This window comes from Homo sapiens, chromosome 8, assembly GCF_000001405.40.
Source record: "Homo sapiens chromosome 8, GRCh38.p14 Primary Assembly".
Lineage (NCBI taxonomy): Eukaryota > Metazoa > Chordata > Mammalia > Primates > Hominidae > Homo > Homo sapiens.
In genome coordinates, this window is record NC_000008.11 from 104,063,057 (window position 1) to 104,089,219 (window position 26,163).

The window sequence follows — 26,163 nt, forward strand, 5'->3', positions numbered from 1 at the left end:
AACTATACTTTTTATATTTTGTTATCAATTATTTGGATAATTTCAACAGAAAACATTTTTCATTTGGGAATCCTTCACTACTGATTACAACTTAATATTTACACCAATACCTTTAATTCTTAAATTTAACTGAAAAACAAATATAATTTGTACTTATTAAAAGAATACTATTTAGAATAAGTTTAATTATAAAGTGCAAATGTTTAATGATCATCCCACAAGTTCTTGATATGTTGTTATGTTAAAAAATATAAACAATAAAAATTGTTTTCTAACCTCAAATTATTTCAAGGCAGTCCTTAGTTTTGTAAAGACATACAATAATCAAAAACAACTCCACATATGACTGTTTATCAGAAACCTTCATGAAACAGCTAGTTAGTGCAATTCTTTAGCTCAATTAAAGGAAAGATTTTTTTAACCTGAGGTTGAATATTTATATAAAAATAGAAGAGATGGGGTAAGGAATAGAGGGAATGTTTTTAAGTAATTAAATTACCCACAAGAATTTGAAGTACTAATCAATGCAATTTCTGACTTCCAAGATGTCTATAATTGCAAATTTCTAATTTTCTCCTGAAGTTTGGGGTTCTTTCTTGAGTTTGCATATTGGGCTTAAGAGTTTTCCCTTGTAAGATCCTCAGATTTGAGCATTTTGTTTAAGACTACAAGATGGATGACTGAGTCAACAATACTGCCATATTCTGGTCGCTGTTCAGCTTCCTTGTGGATTGTGTCACTGCTAAACCTGTGCCCCTACTTCAAAGAAGTTTGGGTTATGAAATTGCTCTAGGACTCCAGGGGCATGCTCATGCTCTTTCAGTCTCTCTCTCTGTCTTTGTGTCAGGAGTGTGTGTGTGTTTGGAAAAGCAAACTTAAAACGATTACTGTTTGCATACTACAGAAATCACTGAAGGTATATCGATGATCTTTGTAGTACATGCGTGTAGTAAAACCTAAACAACCACTAGCTGGCTGCCAGCTATTGTGACCATATTCAACTATATCTTTGGTTAAAAAAATTCATCTAGAAGTTAACTTTTTTTATATTGGATGTCATAGCAGCTTTATCAATATAACTTTAACTTTCTGGGCACACTAAATAGGCTTTTTAAAGTTCAAAGTAACTATAGAATTAATTTTTTATTTAAGAAGAAGTAAATCTCTTTAAAGACTTACACCAAAATAAATAGCTACAGAATATGTGATATGATTTAAGGAAATAAGTTAAATCAAGAGCAACAAAATATTGGATTTTTTTTCGTCAGTGGCTGAAATGGGCCAGAAATTTCCAATTTAAAAAAATGAATATTTTGAGCTATTTATTAATTCCTGAACATCCACATATGCTGTCTTTTTTGTGCTCTGCCTTAAAATTTCTAAAGTAGAATAAAGGTCTTGTGTAATTTAAGGAAGGGGATTATTATAAATTAAGGGAAAGGAAGAAAAGTTTTGTTTAAAATGTCATTTAGTAGGAATGCTAACATTTATGGAATTTAGGAGTATTTGTATATATACATATCAAAAAACAGAGGGCCATTTCCACCATAATTTAAAACAACTCTAGCATTTATGAAACAAGATATTTATGAAACAAATTATATTTTCTCTATTTAGTTAATAATTTACTTATACAAAAAAGAATTTGAGATAACTTGAATATTAGTTTAATACATTATACATTAACAGATTATCACATTAATATATATTTACAAACATGTAAAAACTATCATTGTAAATGTATTTGTCAAAGAAATTGGGTTGTCCCATTACCATCTCAATCAAATTTTTTTACAATTTGAAAATGTTTTGATATTTGATTTGATTTCTAAGATATAATGACCCTAATTTTTTAAGCATACTTGAATTATAAAACCATATCAAACCACTAAGAAGTCTTCTGAAATAAACATAGTTCATCACATATAAGAAAATTAATCTTAGAGATTCCTAGATAAACTTACTCTCTAAACCTATAAACCGTCATTTTTCAAACTTTTTATTTTGGAAAGTTTGAAATTATTTCAACAATATATAAACAGATGGAGAAAAAAGGTAAGTGTTCTGTGGTCAAGTGGTTATTCTTTATTGCAGGTTTTTGAGGGCCTTGTATATACAGATTTTTACTGTCAATCTGAGAGAAAGAGAGAGGAAATTGAACAAAATTCATTCAATTTATCACTTTCATTTATTTTCCTTTTATAGAGTGTATATAGGATATCAGAGCTGAAACGAAGCTTAGGAATTATGTGATCCTTTCCTCAACTAGTGAACAGCCCTTCTATTTTATTGATTTCTCTAAATTGCTTTTCATTCCAAGGAAGAAAAAAAAGACTAAGTTTTGTTGAAATAAAAATATTATTACTGGATTATTTTTCTTAGATAGAGCAAAGGACCAGCAAAGAAAAATCACCTTGCTGGTGAAGAATCCTCTACGCTGGATCACTTTATCTATAGGAGACTTTTCTCTCTAAGGTTATTATTCTACATGGAGTGTTTTCTTTTTAGGAATAGTTTCTACAAATATAGAAAAGGAACAGAAGACTTCATATGAACCAAATAATTTTTGGGTAGGGAGACCTGTTTGGTTACTGTTTGTCCCAAGGGTTATTCTTCTAGGAGGATTTGAAGTTATAAGGTAAAAGGATATTTACTCAAGTTTGCTGACTGAAATAGTCGTTTGAGATTTCATTGGTTAAGACTCTAATAAAGAATTTTCCAATTTGGGAACTGTCTATAGATGATGATTGGGTCTGGAGATGAGAGATTTGTTTGAGATTGTAATTTAATTGATGACATATTTAAATGGTTAGAAAGCTCTATTTGCATCTTGCTTTGTTTATCCAGCAAATACAGATTAATATTCTCCTTAGATCTGCCAGTGGTCTGTTAAGTAAAAGTTATATTGCATAAATCTGATTCTACCTAATTTTTAAACCATTTCTAAAGAGAAAGACACTTTTGCAAGCACTGTTAAACCAATATGCCAGAGAGCAAATCTGACTCACTGCCTGTTTTGTAAACAAAGTTTTATTGGAATAAAGCCACACTTATTATATATGCATTGTCTGCAGTTGCTTCCATGCTATGGTGGCAGAGTTGTGGCAGAGTAACAGTTTCCATATGGCTCACAAAGTCTGCAATATTTGTTATTGGGCCCTTTACAGAAAAAGTTTGCCAACTACTGCCAGTGTTATTCACATTACTACCTAGTAATCAGAAAGAATTTTAATATAGCTTTCCTAGGATGTTGCCATCCAGAAAATAGTCTAAATATTGCAAAATGTATATACCTGTTTCTACGTATATATTTATCACTACATATTTATATCTATATATGTGTGTGTGTGTGTTTAAACTTGTCAATTGGTGCTATTTATATTATATCAAGATGGAACTTTTTGAGAAACTTTCCAAACACACCTTATAGCTAATATTCTTTTAGGACCCATCATTTTGTAATGTTGGGCTCATTTTTTTATTGGCTTGCCTTTGGAGAAGACATGTTTACCTGAAAATATCTTTTGAAGTACAAAGAATTCCAAAGTTGTATTTTAATAGACTAATAGGTATTTGTACTTGACTATATTTCACATTTACATCATGGAGGCACTCACCTGGTTTTATATGTCATTCAAATTATATTAACCTAGCATTAATATTCCTCACTTTCAAATTTGACTCAGAGTCAGTTAGTCAAATCATTATTAACATGTGACTATTATAAGGAAGAAATTGTCTCACTTTATTGAATAGTTGATTTAAATTTTCTGGTATTTAGAGGTAATATAGTATAAGTTTTTTGTATATTTATCTAAGATTTTCCTTTTGAAACATTTTCTTCCCTTTTCATATTATTTTCATTAAACGATTTTCCTTTAAAATTTGTTACTAACAAGAACTATCTAATATGCAATGAGATTTTTGCAGGGCAGAGAATAATACTAAAAAATTAAAACATTAAAAATTTAAAAATATTGGCTCAGAAGGGGATACCATAACTTCTAGTTATACTGGTACCTTTTTAATCCCCTTTTCCTTTAATCCATTTTAAAAATCAGGTAAGTATTAAAATACCTATTTTTTAATAGGCACGCTTACGTCTAGCTGTCTTTACCACAGTTTTAAAGTCATGATCTTAAGCAAGGGGTATGTGTGTGTATGTTGACATTCCTACCTAAACACACTGTGTGAATTTACTGACATTTTATTATGGATATCCAGTTGAGTTCACTAAGCTCATTTTTCCCAGTATGTAGATTTGTAGTATATGATCGAGATTTTTAAATTATATATATTTCTGAGAAATGGAATATTCCTATAACTTTCCTTTAAAAATGACAAATGTACTTTTTTTGAGATGGGATCTCACTGTATTGGCCAACCTGTAGTGCAGTGGTATGATCATAGCTCACTGCAGCCTCCCAACTCCTGGTCTCAAATCCAGCCTCAGCCTCCCAGGATGCTGGGACTATAAGCATGTGTCACCACACCTGGCTAATTTGTTGTTGTTGTTGTGGAGACGGGGTCATGCTATATTGCCCAGGATGGTCTCGAACTCCTGGTCTCAAGCAATCCTCCTGCTTCAGCCCCCCAAAGTGTTGGGATTACAGGCATGAGCCACTGTGCCTGCCCCATAAATATACTTCCAAAATGCTTTTTCATGTTTTCTAGGATTTGCTAACTGAATTTAGTTCTTGTTCTAACCCAAATTTTTGAAGGCCTTCTGAATATTTACAACTGATGTCTTTTAGGTAGCACCTGTTGTAGAGGGCATTAATGTCTTTTTGAAAGAGGCTTACCGTCTTGCTTTCTTAACTCTATATTCTAATTTTTTTTATAAAATTGATCTCAGTCATACTTTGTGCCTTTACTGGCATGGTATGCTATCAGCAGTATTATTACAAGAACCTCTTTGTTGATCCTAGTTCTAGAAAATTCAAATTCAAAAGTTTCTGATAATTGGATTCACACATATACTGGGGCAAACTGCTTCAATGCATAGCCTAATTTTATGATAACAGTTTCTAAATGCAGTTCTAAAATTGTATTTGAAAGCAACTTATAACTTTAATACCTATAAATAAATCATGATGAATTAAAAGTCAGAGTTCACATGATATTATTATTGTCAAATTTCTGTGCAGTCAAATGTATTCTGGACATACACATACCAGAAATTGTTTTCTATCTAATGAAGATTTGTTATCTTCTCTTTAAACTTATTTATATTTTATTCAGATTGAAATTATTTTACATATTTAACATCATGTTTTTACTTATGAAATTGTATACTTTAAATAAATCTGTAAAATAATATGACATTTAATTTGTACATGCTACATTGAGTGAAAGTAATATACCAGCCTGGCTTTTCTTCGTTTATACATCCTGTAAGTCGGACTCAGAAATAAGAACTGAACATTAATTTTATGGGTTTTTTTCTACTCGATAGGTACTATGGATATAGAGGAGAGAAATCGCCAAATGAAAATTAACAAATACAAACAGGTAGCCGGATCAGATCCCAGACTGGAACAAGATTACCATTCGAAGGCAAGACATTTTTCTTTTTAAAAGTTGTAAAATAATCAATCATATGAAACAGTTAGATTCTTTTAAACTACTAAATGCAGATTAGTCAGACACAAACATATAATGCCATGGCCCCATGATATTATTAAGTGCTAAAATTTATGTGTTTGTATACCGCTCTTAGCAATAGAATTTGCCTTACTTAAAAAAACTATTATAAAATACAGAAGATTAAACATCTGAAGGACAAATCTTTTACAGTTTTTCATTTTGTAAAATCTATAGCCCCTCAAAAATGTTTAAGAACTTAAATGATCTTATGGTTTTCTTTCATATAGATTTTTTCCCATTTTATAGTATTTTAATGGAATCTGGTTTATTACTGAATTATTGGAACAAAATACAAATGGTGCCTGCCTTATAGTGGATCAACTTACAAGTTTTTGACTTTAGGGTAGTGTAAAAGCAATACACATTCAGTAGAAGCCATATATCAAGTACTAATACAACCATTCTGTTTTTCACTTTCAGTATTCAATAAATTACATGAGCTATTCCATACTTTATTATAAAATAGGCTTTCAGTTAGATGATTTTGCCCAACTATAGGCAAATGTTAAGTGTTCTAAACATGTTTGAGGTAGGCTAAGCTAAGCTGTGATGTTCAGAAGATGTATTAAATGCATTTTCAACTTACAGTGGGTTCATTGGGACATAAGCCCGTCATGAAGCAAAGAGCTTCTGTACATATTCACGAAGTGCTGTTAGAGGTTCAAAAGTCTTTTGGTATGAATCTTTTTTAACTACTTTTTGGGAATAAGTTGAAGTATGAGGTCTACCAAGGGAGGAAATAAAGTATTAATTAATTGTTCTTTTTTTTTTTTTTTTTTTTTTTGAGATGGAGTCTCACTCTGTTGCCCAGACTGGAGTGCAGTGGTGCAATCTTGGCTCACTGCAACCTCCGCCTCCCGGGTTCAAGCGATTCTCCTGCCTCAGCCTGCCAAGTACCTGGGGCTACAGACATGCGCCACCATGCCCAGCTAATTTTTGTATTTTTAGGAGAGACGAGGTTTCACTATTGTTGGCCAGGCTGGTCTCAAACTCCTGACCTGGCGATCCGCCTGCCTCAGCCCAAAGTGCTGGGATTACAAGCGTGAGCCACTGCGCCCGGCCTATTTCATTGTTCTTGTACTCCATTACCTTTTTATATTCAAGACATTTTTAGTTGCTTGATATTATTCGTGGTCAAAGTCATGAAAATACTTTGTTCTGATATAGCTATTGAAGATTTAATAAAAGAATTAAAATAGCAAAATTTACTCATAACATGTAGCTGTTATATGCTGTTATGACTTAGTAATTGAATCATTATAGTTGTAATATTTGTGGTCTCCGTGTAATAGAGAAAAGCAATCTGGATTTTTTGAAAGTTAGGCCTGTTTTATCCTTACATACTTAATCTGCAGTTTCTATTACATTACATCCCTTCATAACCTCAAGAACTAATTAAGTAAAGCATAAGTGGCTATGTTGGGTATACATAAGTAGCAGGTATGTACATATGTACCAGTTTCTAGCTTCTTCAATAAGACAACATAGAGAAGGCAGAGATTCTTAACATCAGCATCTACTTCTAAACTACCAGTCTCTTCCCCAGATTACATTATTACCAACATGGTGCATACAAAATTATTTATCACAGAATTCTGATATACTGGAAATGTCACAGGCCTAAAGCCAGACAAAAGTAAATTTAAGACAAATTAAAATAGCCTTGGCTTTACTCAGTAGGTTCTAAATTTCTAGAACTTTTTCACTAAAATGAAAATATGAATAACTTCAAACAGGTATAGTAAATTTTGTAGCAAATAATTCTATAATGCTATAATATTTTAGAACATTCCTAACTATTTGAGTTGGATATCAGAAATGATATCTGTGTTTTTCATTTGTTTGTTTTGTATTTCTGCCTACAACTAAATAGACACACCTGACCTTTTGTGGTTTTTTTATGCTGTAGTCTCTCATCTGTTCACCTTGTATAATCCAGAGGCCAAAGCATAAAGTCCTGATAAAATAAGATACTAAATTTTTTGTAAATGTGTCTTCAGATAACATAAATTTGTTGGTTTATATTTTACTATACTTCAGGAAGGAATGTAGATGATTTATAAAAATACTTATATAGTCTCAATAATATTGTCAGTGAAGAAAAGATCAAGAGAAAATAAAGTCACGATAAAACAAGGTAACTCCAGAAGTAAAGTCTGTGAAAAAAATGTATAGTCTAAGATCCTACATACCCACTACATGTGGGCAATGTCAACCCTGAGCTTCCTAACAAGCAGCAAGTAAGTGTAAGATCCCACATACCCATTACATGTGGGCTATATGTCAACACTGAGCTTCTTAACAAGCAGCAAAGGCAGAAAGGGAAACTTGATCAGTTATATGATTTACATTGCTCATACAATAAAGACAAGTTTCTTAGAAGCAATAGCAATGATTCTTGTTATAGAAACCTGACAGAAATTTATTGGATGGACCAAAGGAATACTATAGGCATAGCTGGGATTTCTTTTCTAATTTTGATTTTACTTCGATTCATGAATAAATGAATGCTTAAGGCTTCAAAGTTTTATATCTTTGACAGCAATCATTTTAAGTTGGGAAAAAATAAATATTGGTAAAAATTAATTGTACTAAGCATTATAATTTCCTAGATATTCTCTAAGGCAGTAGATCAGCAACATCAGCATCACTTGGAGACTTTTAGAAATGCAATTGTCTGGGGCCCCTTCAGACCAATGGAATAAAAACTCTGGAGTTGGGGTCCCTGTGGTGTTTGTTTGTTTGTTTTTGAGACAGAGTCTTGCTCTGTCACCCAGGCTGGAGTGCAGTGGCACCATATCAGCTCACTGCAACCTCCGCCTCCTGGGTTCAAGTGATTCTCCTGCCTCAGCCTCCTGAGTAGCTGGGACTACAGGCACGCGCCACCATGCCCAGCCAATTTTTTATATTATTTTAGTAGAGACGGGGTTTCACCGTGTTAGCCAGGATGGTCTCAATCTACTGACCTCGTGATCTGCCCGCCTTGGCCTCCCAAAGTGCTGGGATTACAGGCATGAGCCACCACGCCCGGCCGGGTCCCTGTGTTTTAACAAGTCTATCAGATGATTCTGATGTAGACTAAAGTTTGAGAATTACTGCTCTAAGGTGAAGAACTATTGTAAAATTATCCTTTAGATAATTGAGTTGACTTCCTCAATTAGGGTTTCAACTAGAAGCCAGAGGTGAATGATGTCTTCAAGAAAATGGAGACATTTTGAGAATAAATGATCTGACATCTTTATAAGGCCTTTAATAATGTCTGACAAATCCTACTGAATGTAGAATACTTATCACTCTGTTTTCTATTGCCAGGATTATGCAGGCAGCTTACCTCAAAATATAATCAAGTCTCTTAAGTACAACTTTTTAAGGGGTTCCAAAATACAACCCTATTTTGTACCACAACAAAGCATTTCTTGATGTGGAACTATCTTTGCTGGATCACCTATCTCCCCATCATCTGAGGTTCATCTTCCTCTGATATGTCAAAGAGAAAGTTACAGAGGAATCTTCTTCAGACATATATATATTAAGTTACATTAATTTTCAATTAATTCCTTAGATTAAAATTTTCAACATCATTTCTCTCTTTTTTGATGAGGGCTATTTAGCTTATATTTACATTCTTTACTTTTTATTTTGATAACAAATGCAAGTTATAGAGCCTCCTACTGAGCTATGTGTTTTAACATTAGATCTAGTTGCTGAAGAAAATCATTTAACAAATAAGGGAACTAAGATATAGAAAGGTTATGTAATCTATCCAGGTCCACATAGCCACTAAGTCATGGAAAGTATTACTTGGGCTAATTTAGTTTTTCAAATTTGACATAACTGTGATGAAATCCAAAGCCTCAGACATATGAAGCATATGCTGTCTCCTGAGCTGTATTCCTGAAATTCCAGTGACACAATTGTGAAGCCCTGTGTGGAATCTAATTGTTAGCCTAGGTTTTTTTTTAAAAACTGTACAGTTCACATTCTACATGGCATTGCTCCCTGAATTTCTCAAGACTTCTGCATTGATAGTTTTAAATAATTCCTACTAAATTTAAAGAAATCTTCTTAGTAACTCACTTTGAAAGCATCTATAGAGCAATGCCTATTAAGCTACTGTCTTTCTAAGAATATTTTCAGTATACTAGAAAACTTGAAAGAAGAGAGTCTATTTTTAATAAGAGCAGCAAAGGCATGTACAGACATGATTTCTAGTTAATCAGTGGATGATTTCTCAGGGAGTTTCCCTCAAAATAGAATTTATTATACTCAATGTACTCTTGCATGCTTCTTGTACTTTTTTTATCCCAGCTTGAATGTGATTCATCTATTCTTAGCAATAATTTAAGGATCAACGTATTTTTTCTATAAAATCAACTTTCTTTCCTCTTTATTTTCTCAGAAAAATGTGATTTATTAAGTTTAACAGTGTAAATTATGGTTCACCACAGGTCAACTACCCTTCTGTGAGTTATATAATGATAAATTGGCATAATTATCAATACTTAAAAGTCCAACAATGTATTTATACATGGAAATTAATATGGATGATTTGATAATGCTTATTTAAACATATGAGCTTTAGTTTTTAAATTTGCCATATTTAATATTTTTAAATGTTCCCACAAGCTATATATTGCTATGAAGATACTCTTTGAAAGAGTGGCCCCATAGCATTTCAACAAATAAGGCTCATTCAACAAATAATGTTTATTGGCACAGTATTTATTGGAACTCAAAGCTTATTTCTCTGGAAAAACCATGCTCTTTTTTAAGGAGTATGTTGTGGCAATACTTCTACAAAATTATCACAAAAATGTCTCACTCCTATTATAGCAGTTATATCATAATTTTCCATTCTCTTATTTGTCTCCCTGGAATTAAGAAGCAGTATAATCTATGAGTTGCCCAGATCTCTTCAAATGGAGGCCAGAAGCCTATGATAATCTATTTAACCCATAATATAATAGATTGGGTTAGAACAGAGGACAATGTAATAAAATAAAGGAAAAGAAAGTTTGTCTCCATTTATTGTGCATGCCTGACCCTAGGCACTTTTCACCTATATCCTGTCGCTTTTTCCCCAGGCTTCTAGTCTTTTAGGCACCCATTCACAGATCTCAAAGATGTATTGGGGAAAGCAATTTGATTAAACTAGTTTACGTTAAAATATGAATGACAACACAGAGCTTCATTTTTTAAAAAGCCCTTATAAATACAACATAAACTGAAATTGGTGGACTTATAAGCAGTATTAATAGAAAATATTTCAGATAGTTAAAGTATGTTTGGTCAATTAAAATGCCACTGTTATCTAAACTGTTTGTTTCATTTGATTAGCACTTATGCGCTTCTCAACACTGAGAAGACATATTCAGTGCTAACCTTAAGTATTTTACATTGACTTTCAAGGCACAGGCAATGAGGGGAGAAAAGTTGAGGCTTGTTACAAGTGGTCATATATGAGCTCTTCAAAAATTTAATGTAAGTCAGGAATACTTTAAGTCTCAAATATCATCAGAATGTGGCAGCAGTGGGTGAGTAGTGTATTAGAAAGGGCACAGCCTGGGGTCAAGTGGACTCTGCCTGGGTGGCTTGGGGTAGGTTTAACCTCACAGCTTTTTTAATCTATTAAACAAGGTTTTGGTATCTATTTTATAGGGTAGTGATGAGGATTAAACGAGATGATGTATATAAATTGTTTAGCACCTAGTAAATGCTCAATAAATAATGCAGCTAATATTAGTTATTATTTTATAGTAACAACAGCAAATATAATAATAGACACCAGATATGAATCTGACAAGACCAAAAAGAAATGATAAAGAAATGACTAAGATAAGGAAAATGATTTTATTGATTTTAGTGTGGCTCAGATATCTTTGAATGTTCCCTTTACTCTCAAATAAGGAGATTCAAGTAGCACAAATCTAAAAGGAAAAATGAAATTTAGAGGAAAAAAATTTATGAATCTTAAGGGGATATGAAGATTTTTTTTAATTAAAGGAGACTGGAACATAATATGTGATGAAAAATCACAAACCAAATTACTGAAATTAAGAAATTATGCTATCATGGTTGACATTAAAGGTGACTGGTCCTTGATGAAGTGATTAATAGACATGCATATGGGTGTGGGTGTTTTCAAAGAAATACTCATTAATAGTGATGACATAAATGGACCTGACAACTAAGACCACGTTTATAAAAGGCAAGTTTTAAAATGTAGATTAGATAGCCTTATATATATTATCAAGAAGAAACATGACAATACATGAATTTAGATATAATGTAGACATGAAGAAATAAGAGTTATGTTTTAATTTTACAGCAGTGATAGAAACAAAATACTTGGGGAAAAGTATTTTTCTTAGGGAGAAAAATTGAGCTGCTGTTAGTATGTAACTCAGCCCAGTAACATGATGAGGTGGATAGAGCCAGGCTTTGTGCCTGCTACAGGAAGAGCTGCTGCAGCGTCAGTTCTCAAGCTACCAAGAAAACCTAGTATTCATGTAAAACAGACGTCATTATGCATGTGTAAGATGGAATCCTCTGATAAATAGAACAAGAGGATTCTAATAGGCATGATCTTGTGAACGCAGTCTCAGGGAGTACAATAAGATGTTTTAAATAGAAAGTAATGAATGAAGCATTCTTCTTTGGAATAAGCAATCTACTGTTTCATGAACAGAAGTTGGGTTCAGATTTTCAAAAAAATGCCTGCTAGGCATAGTCTAACAGATATCCAGCAGAATGGTTTTCTATTTTTGAATTAGAATTAAGATCACTTACTCATGATTTTCAACTCGAGCCAAGTCAAGTAATCTTATCTTGTACTGATGAAGATGTCAGAGACTATGCCAGTGGCTGTACCTGGATTTCTTCAATGAAACACATCACTTCTATAAACGCTTATTTTACTTTTTCATATTTTCCTATTATTTTATTTATTTCTTCATGCCTCAGCAAGCAGATAACTTCAGGTCCTATAGCAGAATCCCAAGAGAAATATCTGGAAATCAGTGAACCTGCTGATATGGGAGCATAAGAGAAAAAAGGACAGCCTACATTACTTGGAAGTATTCTTAAATGCCAGACTAGCCTACGAAACTATGAGAGTATGCTTAGTACTCAATGATACTGCCGCCTACTATACTCCCCACCTCTCCACCAGCTGAGGATACATTTGACCAAGTATCGCACACTTTTCTTTGCTTCCTGGCCCCAAACCAGGCCACAGTCTTCTAAGCTGTCTAAGTTGCTTGTCCAAGCCAGCCATCCTCCAGGATTTTAATTAGTCACCTGACGTGTATGTTTTATTTTTACATCACCCTGAGGTATTTCCTTTATCAAGTATATTTATGAAGATACATAAACTTAGATTTTGAAATCCAGGTTATTAAGCTAGCAAATAAGAGCAGCATTATATAATATAGCTGTAGAATTGCACGAGATGCTAATGGTAATCTTATCAAGGCCTGATTAAAGCCTTCAGTCCCACTTACAAAATTGCCAAATGGTTATATAGCCTAATTAAAAGAGTCATAGTTCAGAATGAAAAATGATAAAATTACATTTTTGAAATCATTTATGCCCATTTTCCCCCTTCTATAGTTTTTTTTTGAATTCATGTTTGCAAGGATAGATTTCTCATTTGTGTGATATCAAACATCCATCAAACTAGCATTTAAAAGTAACTAAAAATTTCTGTATGTGTTTGTATAATTTCTTCCTTTATGAGATAAGTAAAAGAAGGGGTGATGTCAAGAGAGAAGGAGCCATTGGAAGTATAATTTCTTACAATTGGTACACAATATTATTAATAACTATAGCAGACACAGATTTATAGCAGAAATTCTGAAGTCTTGTTTACAGTAATAGAGATATATGGACAGTTTGATAATCACTCTTCAATATATTTTTAGTGATTAGGGTTAAATAAAGACTACAGAGTAGTATTAAAAGTGTAGATTCCTTAACCAAACTGCCTAGATTAAAACCCTACCTCTTATACTATCTGTATGACCTTGGGCAAGTTACTTAACATTCTTGTGCCTCAGTTTCTTATTCTATAAGGTGTGTTAATAATAGTACCTACCTCCAAGGATTGTTTTCTTTTATCTTTTTTTTTTTTTTTTACATAGTCTCGCTCTGTTGCTCAGGCTGGAGAGCAGTGGCGTGATCTCAGGTCACTGCAACCTCTGCCTCCCGGGTTCAAGTGATTCTCCTACCTCAGCCTCCCGAGTAACTGGGATTACAGGCACGTGCCACCACACCCAGCTAATTTTTTTGTCGTTTTAGTAAAAGGCAGGGTTTCACCACGTTGGCCAGGCTGGTTTTGAACTCCTGACCTCAAGTGATCCGCCCACCTTGGCCTCACAAAGTGCTAGGATTACAGGCATGAGCCACCACACCCAGCCAGATTGTTTTCAAGATTGTCTACATATAAAGATTAAAGTCTTAGAGCAGAGCTTGATATGTAACAGCAATCAGTAAACGTTAGCTGTGATATGATAATGATGGTTGTGGTCGTGGTGGTGGTGGTGGTGACGATGATGATAGGAAAGAAGGACAAAAGGAAGAAACACTGTTTCCAACAGATAACTTCCACTTACCAAAGCCCTTGGGGGTTCCAGTGTATATTTGTTGTCATCAGGAATCTAGTAGAGATAGATAAGTATATCTTTAAGGTAATCTTAAAAACAGGTGGGGAGAAAAGGATGAAAAATTTAAAAAAATGATACTTTTAAAAGCCTAAAAATGATTTGTCTTTTTTGCAAATCTATTCAAATTTTTTTCTACCCAAAATTCTTATTGTATAGTTTATATTCCCTAGCAAGCTGATTGTATTTAAATTTTAATCTAAATATCTGTCTATTGGTATAGATATACCTGTAGGCAGATATAAAATTATAATGTATTTCCACATAATTTATACATCTGTGTTTACACATACACTTACTCATACCCTAAAGCTCTGAACTCAGGGTTCAGAGCTTTAGGGTATGAGTAAGTGTATGTGTAAACACAGATGTATAAATTATGATTTAGCTGATAGAAGCAACAACTGTTCATTTATTCCTTGCCTCATTGGAAGAAATTCTCATCTATTTCTTGTCTCTCCTGTTACATAAAAGATCTACAGTTAAAAACTTGGTGGTGGCCGGGCACGGTGGCTCACGCCCGTAATCCCAGCACTTCGGGAGGCCAAGGCAGGTGGATTGCCTGAGGTCAGGAGTTTGAGACCAGCCTGGCCAACATGGTGAAACCCCATCTCTACTAAAAATACCAAAAATTACCTGGGTGTGGTGGCTGGTGCCTGTAATCCCAGCTAGTTAGAAGGCTGAGGCAGAAGAATCTCTTGAACCCGGGAGGCAGAGGTTGCAATGAGCCGAGATCGCTGCACTCCAACCTGGGCAACAAGAGCAAGACTCCATCTCAAAAACAAACAAAAAAAACAAACCAAAAAAAAAAAACACTTGATGGTAACTCATTTTAATGAAATTTTAGCGATTTTGTATTTTTATTTGTGATTAATCTTCGATTTTAAAAGTTTCTAGTTTAGGTTTCTTTTTCCTTAACATCCCATATTAGTTGATTAGGGCTGCTATAACAAAATACCATAGAAGGGGTGGCTTAAAGAACAGAAATGTATTTTCCCAGTTTTGGAGGCTAGAACTTTAAGGTGTTGGCTAGGCTGGCTCCTTCTGAGGCCTTTCCATGGCTTTCAGATGGCTGCCTTCTTGCTGTGTCTTCACTTTGTGTGTGTCTGTGTCCTAATCTCTTCTTATAAGGACACCAATCATATTGGATTAGGAACTACCTATGTGACCTCATTTTACCTTAATTACCTCTTGAAAAGCTCTAGCGTCAAGTACAGTCACATTCTGAGGTACTGAAGACTAGGACTTCAGTATAGGAATTTGGGAGGAACACAATTCAGTCTATAACACATCTCTACAAAGTAGCTAATGATCTTTTAAATTAAAACTTTATTGCATTGTGAAAGCATATTTGATTAGAATGTGAATAGGGATTTTTAGGCAACTAACCGTAGCTGTTTTGCTTTGAACTTTTTATTTCTTTTTTGATTTTATTACTTTTCTCTATTTCTTCCTATTTTTACAACTGCCTTCTCAAATCCTAAGAGATAAAATATTTTGGTTTTGTGTTTGCAAATGCATCTTAAAAATTAGCTGTCTTAGCCATGAAAACCACATTTAAATATGACTCGCGTAGCCATAATTTTATGCTGATATTCAAGCATGGGTCCCTTTCCTTTAGATGTATTTGTGAATTGCTACCTTTTACCATATATTCACATTTTAAGCCAGGAAATATAAAAAGACTATTTTTAATTATGAGTAAGTCTTCCAGTGTGGCAGTATTATGCAAAAAAAAAAGTCATTTGAGATGACAAAAACAGCAACTTGTATATTATAGAACACTGTAGAATTATAGCAGAAATTTTAACTTCTCCCTTTTTAGTAACATAAAGTTTCTAAAAACTGACAAAGAGAGAATTGTAGATAAGTTGCAGGCAGCTACTTGCAGGTAAGAGGGTCAATCTGTGGAGAATAGCTGCCATTGCCAAGAGTGCAGTACCCTCCTGTAATTACCTAAGAATATAAAGGAGAAACATTTCCTTTTACCGTCAGCAAAATAAAAAATAATAATAAACATATGACTTCATCTTTGCTTTCATCAAGGCTCCAGAGTTGCTAGCTTGTTAACAGCTAGAATATTCTACAGGGAATGAATTATAGTAGACTACAGAAGGGAAAGGTCTCGCTTTATAAAATCAGGGAGGATATGGGAAAAGAAGGAAGAAAATATGATCAAATAGAACAGATACATTCTTTCCAATCAAATTTCACATAACTGAAAGGATTAAGCATGATATATATATATATATATATATATATATATATATATATATATATGAAGTAAAAGAATATGGAAAACAACAGATAGGTGAAAACATATATACCTTCTGAACCAACCATGGCATTACCACATAAAATACATATATTCTGTTTTATATGTGGAATATTTATGTCTTTTATATTAAACTATACACTTCTTGAGAACGGTGACTATATTATTCATCTTTGTAGTCTCTCAGTAGCATGTACTTTGCCTTGGCCACAATAAGCACTCAATGGGATTAATTTTAGTGAATGAACGTGGACGTGGATGCTGAGAGAAGTAGGATAGGATAGTTTGAAAAAGATTCTAGAGAAGGTGAATTTTAAGCATTTTGTATCAATATAAGAACAAAATATGATTTTTAGAAGAAGATATAGGTAGATTATTGGGTAATAGTCAAAAGCATGTTTTCTAATGGGCATACAATTATTGATTTCCATCTAGAGATAATAATAGTGGAAAGAATACTGAGATAGAATGAGAAGATTGGGCTTCTAACTTTGGTTATGCCATTCATGTAATAAGACTTTGGATAAGTTGCCCAATAGTTCTTCACAACTCAACTTTTTTCTATCTACAAATTGAAGGAACCTTATAAAGTGTTAAACAAATATGTGGTACTTTGGAGGCAGCATTGAAAAGACCACTATGAATTAACATTTGGGTTTTAATCAGTCTCATCATTAATTAAGTAAATTATTTAATCTCAGAGCCTAGTCTTAAAATTAGATTTGAAATATATTTTCTATATTTTATTTCTTTCAATTCTAATGTTTCATTCATTGATTGAGTAGTCTGATCAGTGTAAGGCTCTCTACTAGACATGTTCTCACAAGTGCCTGAATCTGTATAATTTTTAATGAACTTGTGCCATAATAACTATGACTTAGAGAATAAATTTATATGTGTAATGTTTTGCATATTTTACATGAAGTAATTGATAATTAAGTTTGAATTGACACTTGTGTAAAAACCTTTAGTCAATAAAGTCAGTCATCCAGGGTAACATGGAACCATTCACATCTATAACTTCAATTTAGTTCAGCTAATTATAATACAAATATATCTACAATTTTGTTATGTAATGGCTTTGTTCATCAGCACAAAATTCAGTTGTAATTTTTCTTTAGTTGGAAGGATTACAGATATCATTTATTAGCAAAATAAATATAACGTTTTATTAAACATTTGGAAATTTGATTACTTCTATTGCATCAATTTTGAAGATCGTAAAATAATACTCCAGTCTGGAAATAATATAGCTAACCTTGGAATATATTTCATATGAAGGAAGGGACTTTGGTGATAACTTCAGAGAGTGGAAACATCTCTATAGCACTAGGCCTAGCACATGGGAATGTCCATAATCGTAGTTATTTTTTAGTATTTATTATAACATGGGAGGTAGGAGTAATAAAAACTAACTTACAGTTGAACTTCATTCTGATGGATGAATTAAAACTTACTACCTCAATATAACTTCCTGAGTAACAAAGAAATCGCTGTGATTTTATGATTGGCCATTTTCAGGTCATTTTTATGACTCGGAATGCTTACAAACAAGGCCAACAGTCTCCAGGGTCCAGTCACATAAGAACATGTTACTTCTTAAGCCCTTTTCGATTTTCTGCCAAAAAATAAAATCACCTGAATTTTAAATGAGTTTAAAGGGCTTATTTCAATAGAACATAAAACATGCTTTTATTCAATAGAACATAAAACATGTTTTTATTCAAGTTAGTTAATATGATATTATTGTCAAAGTTTTACTTTGTTAAAATCCATCCAATTATACTTACAAGTAGTGTTATTTTAATGCTGTTTTGTATTCTGATTATTTAGGTCATTTTAGATAGATTTTTCAAAATTTCAAAAAAGGCTGAAAATCTTTATTTTAAGCATATCCCTAAAGTTGAAAACAATATGAATATTTTCAAAAGAAATCAGTCTAAACTTGCTTGCCCAGTGTCCCATTAAAATGAATACAAATTATCACTTTTAATTAAAAGTAAAAACAAATTTGACAATAAAAGTGAAAAAAAAGTTTAATGAAAAGAAATAGACCTTATAATAACAAGTTGTATAATCTTAATCACTTCTCTATTTCTCAATTTTCTCATCTATAAAATGAGAAAGCTAGATTACATTCTCTCTGAGGTATCTTTTAGCTTTAAAATATGGTGAACTTGTGAATGATTCAGTGATGAGGAAATAACCAAATGTGTGGTTCAGTACCGGGTAACTTTCCTGGGCTGTTCTCTTGAACAAAAAACAAAAAACAAACAAACAAAAAAGTGGTTATATGAGTCTTCTTTCCTTCTCTGTTTTTTAAGGCATTTGAATATTTTTTTTTCAATTTCAGTGGTCATTCAGTGGTCATTCATTCTCTCTCTCTTACCTGCAAGTCAGAACTTCATACCTCGGGTATTGCTGAAGCTCATCAGCTTTAATTCTGGATTCTGGTTCTGCAACATTAAAGAAAGAAAATGCCAGAGGAATAACCATATGAATAACAATAAAATGAAGGAAATAGTGAGTAAAGAAGGAATAAAGGACGGAAGGGAAAGGGGATGAAGAGAGGGGAAAAAAGAAAAGGAAAAAGAGAATTAAAGGAAGGAGAGAGGGAAAGAATGGAGGAAGGCAGGCTAGCATATCCTTTCAATCCAAGAGTTCACTATCAAATTAGAGAAACGCATGTACATAAGTAATGATGGTACAAAATAGGCTGTGTTGAATGATATAATTTTTAAAAATACACGTACAAAGGAAGAACAGCAAAAGAAATATTCATTTGGCTGGTAGAAATCTGGGAATAGAATAGAATGTAACACATGAAGTGAAGGACTTCTCAGGCTGAAGAGAGAGCTTAAACAAAGTTATGGCGTTACATGAGCACAAGCCATGTTTAAGAAACAGCTAATAGTTCTTTAGTGTGGAAATATACAACAAATGGGGATATGTATTCGGAGAAAAGAATGTAAAAGTTGGCTGGGACAAGATTGTGGAGAACTTTGAATCTCTCAGTTAAAAATATAGAATGTTCTACATTTTAAATTTTATGTTTATATTTTTATATTATTTTAAATACCTGTATTATTTTAAAGTCTGTATCTTATATGTTAACATCTATATATCTATATTCTTTTAATATTTTAATATCTGTATTACTTATGTTCTATATTATTTTTCTATATTTTATACAACCCATATGGAATGATGGGTTTGGAAGATTTTTGAGGAAGTTGCTGACATGAACAAATTTGTGCTTTTAGAAGGTAATTTTAATGATATACTTAAGATGCATTTGAAAAGAACATTACAGACAAAGAGTCCCATTAGGAGGCTATTGTAGTAGTCCAAGCAAGAGGTAATTGTTAGTCTTTGTCCCTGCTTTGACTGTTGGCTCCATCCCAAATGGTCTTTCTGTAAGCCCAGTTGATGCTTCTCTGTCTTCTCACACAGGGAACAGGAGTAGTGGGCCTCTTCAGACTTCCAACAGAATATAATTATATTTGCCCTATCCCTGAATTTGATAGATCAGAGCAATTCTCAGGCCCCTTCAGGTTTTTTAACATTACATAGTTATTCAGGCTATTATTTAGCCTTGACTCTTTTCAGCACAAGTACTTAAAGTTACGCTATTACCTTCTAAAGTACTAATAATTGAAAGGGAACCTTATTTCTTGTCTCCAGCTCATATGTTTTTGTTGTGTTTCTGCCTGCTTCAGATCCCCAGGGCACTGGTCCTACTGATGTGTTCTCATGTCTTATTTCTGTTGCAACTTTTGGGATGCTAGCTTGCCACATGATATCTGTAATTTCTATACCCTATATCCCAATCAATTAGATAAATATTCTTTAAACATTCATAAAAATCATATAATCCATGTAATGTTTAAAGATGGTCACAAAGGGCCATGTGCCAGGAATTCTTAGTGACGGTTTCTTTATGACTTTTCTTAATTCTAGTAGATCTTATGGGTTTCTGATCTGAGGGCTTGGAGAAGCATTTAGTCATAATAAAAACATAAGGGCTTTAAACTGGGTGCATTGGTTTAGATTAGCAGCAGGCATTTTGTTCTACCCTCTGGGGCTTGGATAGACATGAAATTGTATGTATGTATCAGAATATTATTATTAATATATGTAAGGGTCTGAGAAAAACAGACTTTGAAACACTTCTTGACTGAGGCAGATATTTCAGATGACATGAGTTTGAGCTATTACTGAATAATAAAGGGTTTACAAATCTAAGACTAAAGCTATTGAAAAAATATTTACTTTTTGTGGTTACATCTATATCAATACACAGCTAAGTGTTAATGTTATATATTATCTGTAAAAGGTTAAAAAGCTGTTTTATCAGATGTGAAAAAGAAAACTATAAGATATTTGAAAGTTGTTTGTAAACTATAAAAAGTATTTAAATTTTAATTATTATTAATAATGTGTTATGGTGATAGATTGTTACTGTCCTCAGTTTAACTTTCCTTAGTATCAAGTATAAACATAATTATAAAAACTAACTGTGACCAGGCATGGTGGCTCATGCCTGTAATCCCAGCAATTTGGGAGGCCGAGGCGGGTGGATCACTTGACGTCAGGAGTTGAAGACCACCCTGGCCAACATGGTGAAACACCATCTCTACTAAAAATACAAAAATTAGCCGGGTGTGGTGGCAGGCACCTGTAATCCCAGCTACTTGGGAGGCTGAGGCAGAATTGCTTGAACCTGGCAGGCAGAGGTTGCAGTGAGTCGAGATCGCGCCACTGCACTCCAGCCTGGGCGACTGAGCAAGACTCTGTCTCAAAAAAAAAAAAAAAAAAACTAAAGTAGAATAGTTTCAAGAATGAATAAACCTGAATTTCCAAGGCAGGTTTGGTATTATCCTACTCTAAGTAAATAAACCAATCTAGCATCAAAGGACAATGCCCTTTCGTTTTTTGTTTTTTATGAGACGTGCAATTAAGAACCTATTTATAAAGTATTCATAGCCATTTTCATGGTTTTTTTTCAAGTCAAGGTAAAATTTTTGAGCTCATGGCTTAATGATGGTGAATATTTAGTATCATAATGTACAGTTTCTTTTATTTCATCATGGACTATGCCTAGTTAATTATCATGGTAAATACTTACTATATGTCAAGACCTGTGATCTCATTTAAAACTCATATTTGTCCTATTAAGAAGGTATTGTCTCCACAATGTGAATCTAGAAGCAGACTTAAAGATGTTAAGAGACTTGCCTAAGATTGTGTAGCTCCTAGTAAGTGGAAGAGCAGTTACACACCCATATCTTTCAGCTCTTAATCCCTTGGTCATTATGGTATACTGCCTCTTATCAAAATTAGATGACTATTATGATTTTCATCAATATTGTTGCTTAGGGAATATGTTTACACTATGAGGTCAGAAATTTTCTTCTGACACAGACCAGGAAGAATTTGCATTCAGAAAAGTGTATCAGTCATGTTTGCACTCAGCTGTTTATAACAAAACACCTGACAAAATTATCTGAATAAACAAGGAATTTTACTTCACACAACAAGAAATCCAAACAGCCCAGGGCTGGTACTATTATGTAAGACCCAAGCACTCTGTCTTCCTATTCTCCTTTCTTAGAGTAAGACATTCATCCCCATCATCACAGAATGCCTGCTGTAGCTGTAGGCTTGGGTTTGAACTCCAATAAGAAAGAAAAAAGAAAAGGGAAAGACATATGGTCATACCAGCTATGTTAGCTCACTGTAATCAGATACATAGTAGCTCTCCCTAAACCCCACCCTAGATTCCTGCTTATATTTCAGAGGTCACACTCACATCAAATGATCACCTTACATACAAGGTAGAAAATGAAGTTGTTTTGTTTTGTTGTTATTAAAATCAGTGTGGATTCTTTTAATAAAGACCAAAGTGGGAGAGGGAATATTGCGTAGGCATTCAGCAGCAACTGCCACAAATAAATAGGTATTAAATACTCTGGTTACCAAAAGGAAAGACCAAGGACCCATTCATAACCCCCGATAGCTAAATATTTAGATAATATTTGTTTCCATTAAATGACTAAGTAATATTTCTTGGCTGATTAGAATGGAGGATACTGGGGAAGGAGGAGTCAAAGATAATTCACAACTTATCTAGGTTTTAGTTGGATATTGAGCCTACAGTGCAGGGAACATAAGAGGTACAAGGAGAGCTGGTTTAGGGTGAAAGAATAAATTTGGTTTGAGCTATATTGAATTTGATGTGCCAGCAAAAGGAAGTACAGGAGATGTCCTGTCAGCATCTGGAAATACAGATCTGAAGCTTGGGAGAGGTGAGAATAAGGATTTTATTAGTCATTACTTGGTAATTAAAATGGGTAGACAATGGATTATATGATCCTGGGGTAATATAGTTAAAAGAAGGCTAAAGATGGGAACTTTGAGAAAATATAATTTAAAATCAGGTTAGGGAAAACAAAGCTGGGAAAGGAGATTAAAAAGTAACACTCAGGGACATAGAGTAGAAACCCTGAGTGGCAATATCTAAGAAGTCATTATGGGAAATTTTCAAGAAGGGAGGGGAAAGAAAAAACCTAAAAAGATACCACTGACTGGTAAATTAGGATGTTATTGGGGAATTTTGTTCTGGTGGGTTTTTTTTTTTTTTTTTTTTTGAGAACAGTTTTAGTACATGATAGAATGGCTTAAGAGTTGTTGATTCTCTTGAAGAACATGGTAAATTCATTTGTTAAGGGCAAAAGCATAAGCTTTGCAGCTACCTGAGATCTCTAAACCTGGGGTTTCATTGCAGCGCTGGCACTTCTATCTCTGAAAACTGAGAAATCGATAGAAGTAAATTAAGATTGTTTCTCAAGGAGAAGCTGATTACTAATAGACATTGAGTTCCCACAAAGCCAAGCCTTAGGGAAGGTCATAATTGACTACTGGCAATAATTCTTCCTCTGTAAATTATCCAGGAAAAATTATTCACCTCATAAATTTCCTTCATATCAAGCGACAGCTGGTTCATTAGTAAGTCTTGGCATACATGCTAATGGCTACCCTTTCTTCGACTACCGCTTTTTACTTTAAGCTGTTCTTGCTATGTCATGTTTCAAAGACTTCCCTGAGTGAGTCTGTTTCTAGATCTATAGAATGGAGAAAATGCCTTCTTCACAGGTCCAAGGTGAACTTTAAATGAGATCACAGGTCTTGATACACAGTAAATATTTATTGTCCCTTACTCATTCTCTCCTAAGGAGTCTTAGCCCTATAAACAAAGCCTGTATTCCTAAACCCCACAACCAGTGGTGTGCCCAACTGTCTGTTCAGTGACCACTTGGTAACTTGAAATCAGCCATAATGGGAGTATTTATATCACGGAAATCAGAAAACTCCGTAAATTGGAATTTTTTTTCCTCAGAAAGCTAGTTGTTAAACATTTACTGTAACAGCACTGCCTATACCCACCACAGAGAATGAAATAATTAGGTGACTAAACTCTATACAGCTATCAATGTATCTTGTACACTGATTTGATACTTCATAATGGAATAATACTTCAGTATATAGCCCAGATAAAGCTAAATCATTCCATTCATTTTGATCATTAAACATTCATTGAGTTGCTTCTAAATGCCAGGCCCAGATATAGATAATAAGATTACTAAAATCAACAAAAGTCATTATCCTCTGGGAGTTTATAATCTAGTGGGGTGGGTACATTACAAATAGATGGCTAAATAGCTGGATAGATGATTGATACATGGATGGATGGATGGATGGATGGACAAGGGAGAAGTACACATAATACCACATGATAAAACTGTAATAAAGGCATGAGTAAAGTAGTTGAGGAACATTCGAAGCAGTGCTTCTCTTTGAAGGAGTTAAGGAAGACTTCACAGAGGAGGTGACATCTTAAACTGTGCCTTAGAAGATGACTAGACCTATTTAATGGAGAGGGTGTTGAGTATGGCTCATCCTACCTAACTGTACTTCCTTCTGACTCCAGCTATCACAAAGGCGACCTCATAAGGTTTGGGAGAACTAAATAAAATAATCCACACATATTATTTACAACAGTATGTTTCACAGGGTATACAAATAATAATTGTAGCTAGTTTAATTACTATACCAAACTGAAGAGGCCATCAGGCCTGAGGACCAACAAGGGAGAAAATTCAGTGCCTCAGTCTCCAGTGAAAATTTTATGTCCTAGACTCCTTTCCAGACTGAGGCATGATGTTCGTTAGGCTCAGCTTTACTGCAGACTCCTTCCTTTTGAGCTCTGCAGCTATCAGAAATCTTTCAAGCTGGGGTTTCATTTGCAGAATATTGTTTACAAGACTAAATCTTAAATAAGTCCTCAAATGTCTTTGGCCTTTGCTCACTGCCCTCTCCTCCCAATTTTAGACCATTATCACATAATACCCTCTTTAGAAGTCATAGCTAAACAAAATTATCTCTGACAAGTACATTTTTTAATTTTTATGCAATTTATTTTTATTTATTTTTTATACAATTCAGCATTCAGATCAGGCACTGATAAGAGCCTTGGGTAGGACAGAGAAAAACATCATCTGGAAGTAGCTCCTCAGAGAAAAAGTACCTGCAATTGTGTTACTATCAAAGAGCAACAACTATTTTCTTTCGATTATGACATGAAATAAAAACAGGATGACGAAAATGCACATGGTTATTTAATGACTGCAGTGCCAGAATTCCCTCTGCCCTCTTCTTTCCTCTACCTCCCCTAGATTGATACCAAGAGCCCTGCCCAGAACTTCAGCCTAACTTGTATCTTCCAAAGATTATGTTTGCCTTAGTTTTCTTTCCCCGCTCCTATCTTTTGATTAACTCAGTATTTCCTTGAATGTGGTATTCAGGTATCCATGTACTTCTCGATAGCATGAGACTTGTTTTTCTTCAAAATTGGGCTTCTATATTATCCAGTATTTTGCAATAATTAATTTTTTAATTATTGTTTTGTACAATAAATGGTTATCTGGTGAGATTTATTGAAGACAAGTGATATTTAAGGAAGTTCATAATCCTGCCCCCATCTTTTGTCTGAAGATCAAACAACCAGAGTTCTTGAGGTGCTTTAGCAAAATCAGAGTTGGAAATGGCCAAACCTAAGAACTTCAAATGAGTACTGGAGAAAATGAAACTGATTTTAGAAATTGTAATTTATTTTTTTAAGTATATCATTCTAATATATCATTCTGACACTTCAATAATAGCCTTCTTTTCAATAGAGCTCTGCAGATACACTGTTACTTTCCACTAATGTTAGATATATAGGAAGAACATTAACTTTTCCAGGCCACTTAGGAACTCTTTAGAGTCTGGAACATCCTGAAGAATAATCATTTCCTGTAAATTTTTCTAGTTCATGATCTTCTTAATAGTATGTACAAAACATTAAAATGTTGTCCGGAAAAACTTCTTTACTCTCTTCCAAGATTTTAATGATCTTTAATCGGAGCACAGTTTTCAGCTAAGATCGTATTATCCTTCTTTGTTTTTGTTCCATTAAAGAGAATGGTTAACAGGCCATTCATTGTTCATCCATCAGCTATATTCTAATACATGCTAATTATT

The 26,163-nt window shown here is 33.6% G+C and overlaps 1 protein-coding gene and 2 long non-coding RNA genes across 66 annotated transcripts in view, besides 1 other annotated feature; 1 reads left to right on the forward strand and 2 right to left on the reverse strand.

The window, feature by feature from the left end:
- The window catches only part of RIMS2 (regulating synaptic membrane exocytosis 2), a 755,485-nt gene that overhangs the window by 562,447 nt on the left and 166,875 nt on the right, over nt 1-26,163 (forward strand). For 40 of the 64 annotated variants that reach the window (NR_145711.2, XM_017014015.3, XM_017014010.3 and 37 more), the window contains one exon: nt 5,456-5,556. The exons of the other annotated variants lie outside the window; for them this stretch is intronic. Coding sequence is in view for 39 of the 40 variants with exons in the window: in XM_017014015.3 (XP_016869504.1) it covers nt 5,456-5,556 (101 nt within the window). In the remaining variant the exon portion in view is untranslated. The remainder of the gene's footprint in view (nt 1-5,455; nt 5,557-26,163) is intronic. 64 annotated transcript variants of the gene reach the window in all.
- LOC107984007 (uncharacterized) lies at nt 12,559-14,978 on the reverse strand. Its single transcript, XR_928500.4, has 3 exons — nt 14,943-14,978; nt 14,259-14,303; nt 12,559-12,674 (listed from the first exon to the last, which is right to left on the reverse strand). It is a non-coding gene; the product is annotated as an uncharacterized LOC107984007 (long non-coding RNA).
- The window catches only part of LOC105375688 (uncharacterized), a 33,574-nt gene continuing 22,429 nt past the window's right edge, over nt 15,019-26,163 (reverse strand). The window contains exons 3-4 of the long non-coding RNA XR_928499.1: nt 18,971-19,037; nt 15,019-15,055 (exon numbers count right to left, since the gene is read on the reverse strand). This is a non-coding gene — a long non-coding RNA (uncharacterized LOC105375688). The remainder of the gene's footprint in view (nt 15,056-18,970; nt 19,038-26,163) is intronic.
- Nucleotides 19,668-20,191: an enhancer, noted in NCBI's record as "NANOG hESC enhancer chr8:105094952-105095475 (GRCh37/hg19 assembly coordinates)". NCBI's record gives its function as "activates a minimal SCP1, AML or CMV promoter by ChIP-STARR-seq in naive H9 embryonic stem cells {active_cell/tissue: H9 hESC(naive)}" and the evidence as "EXISTENCE:reporter gene assay evidence [ECO:0000049][PMID:30033119]".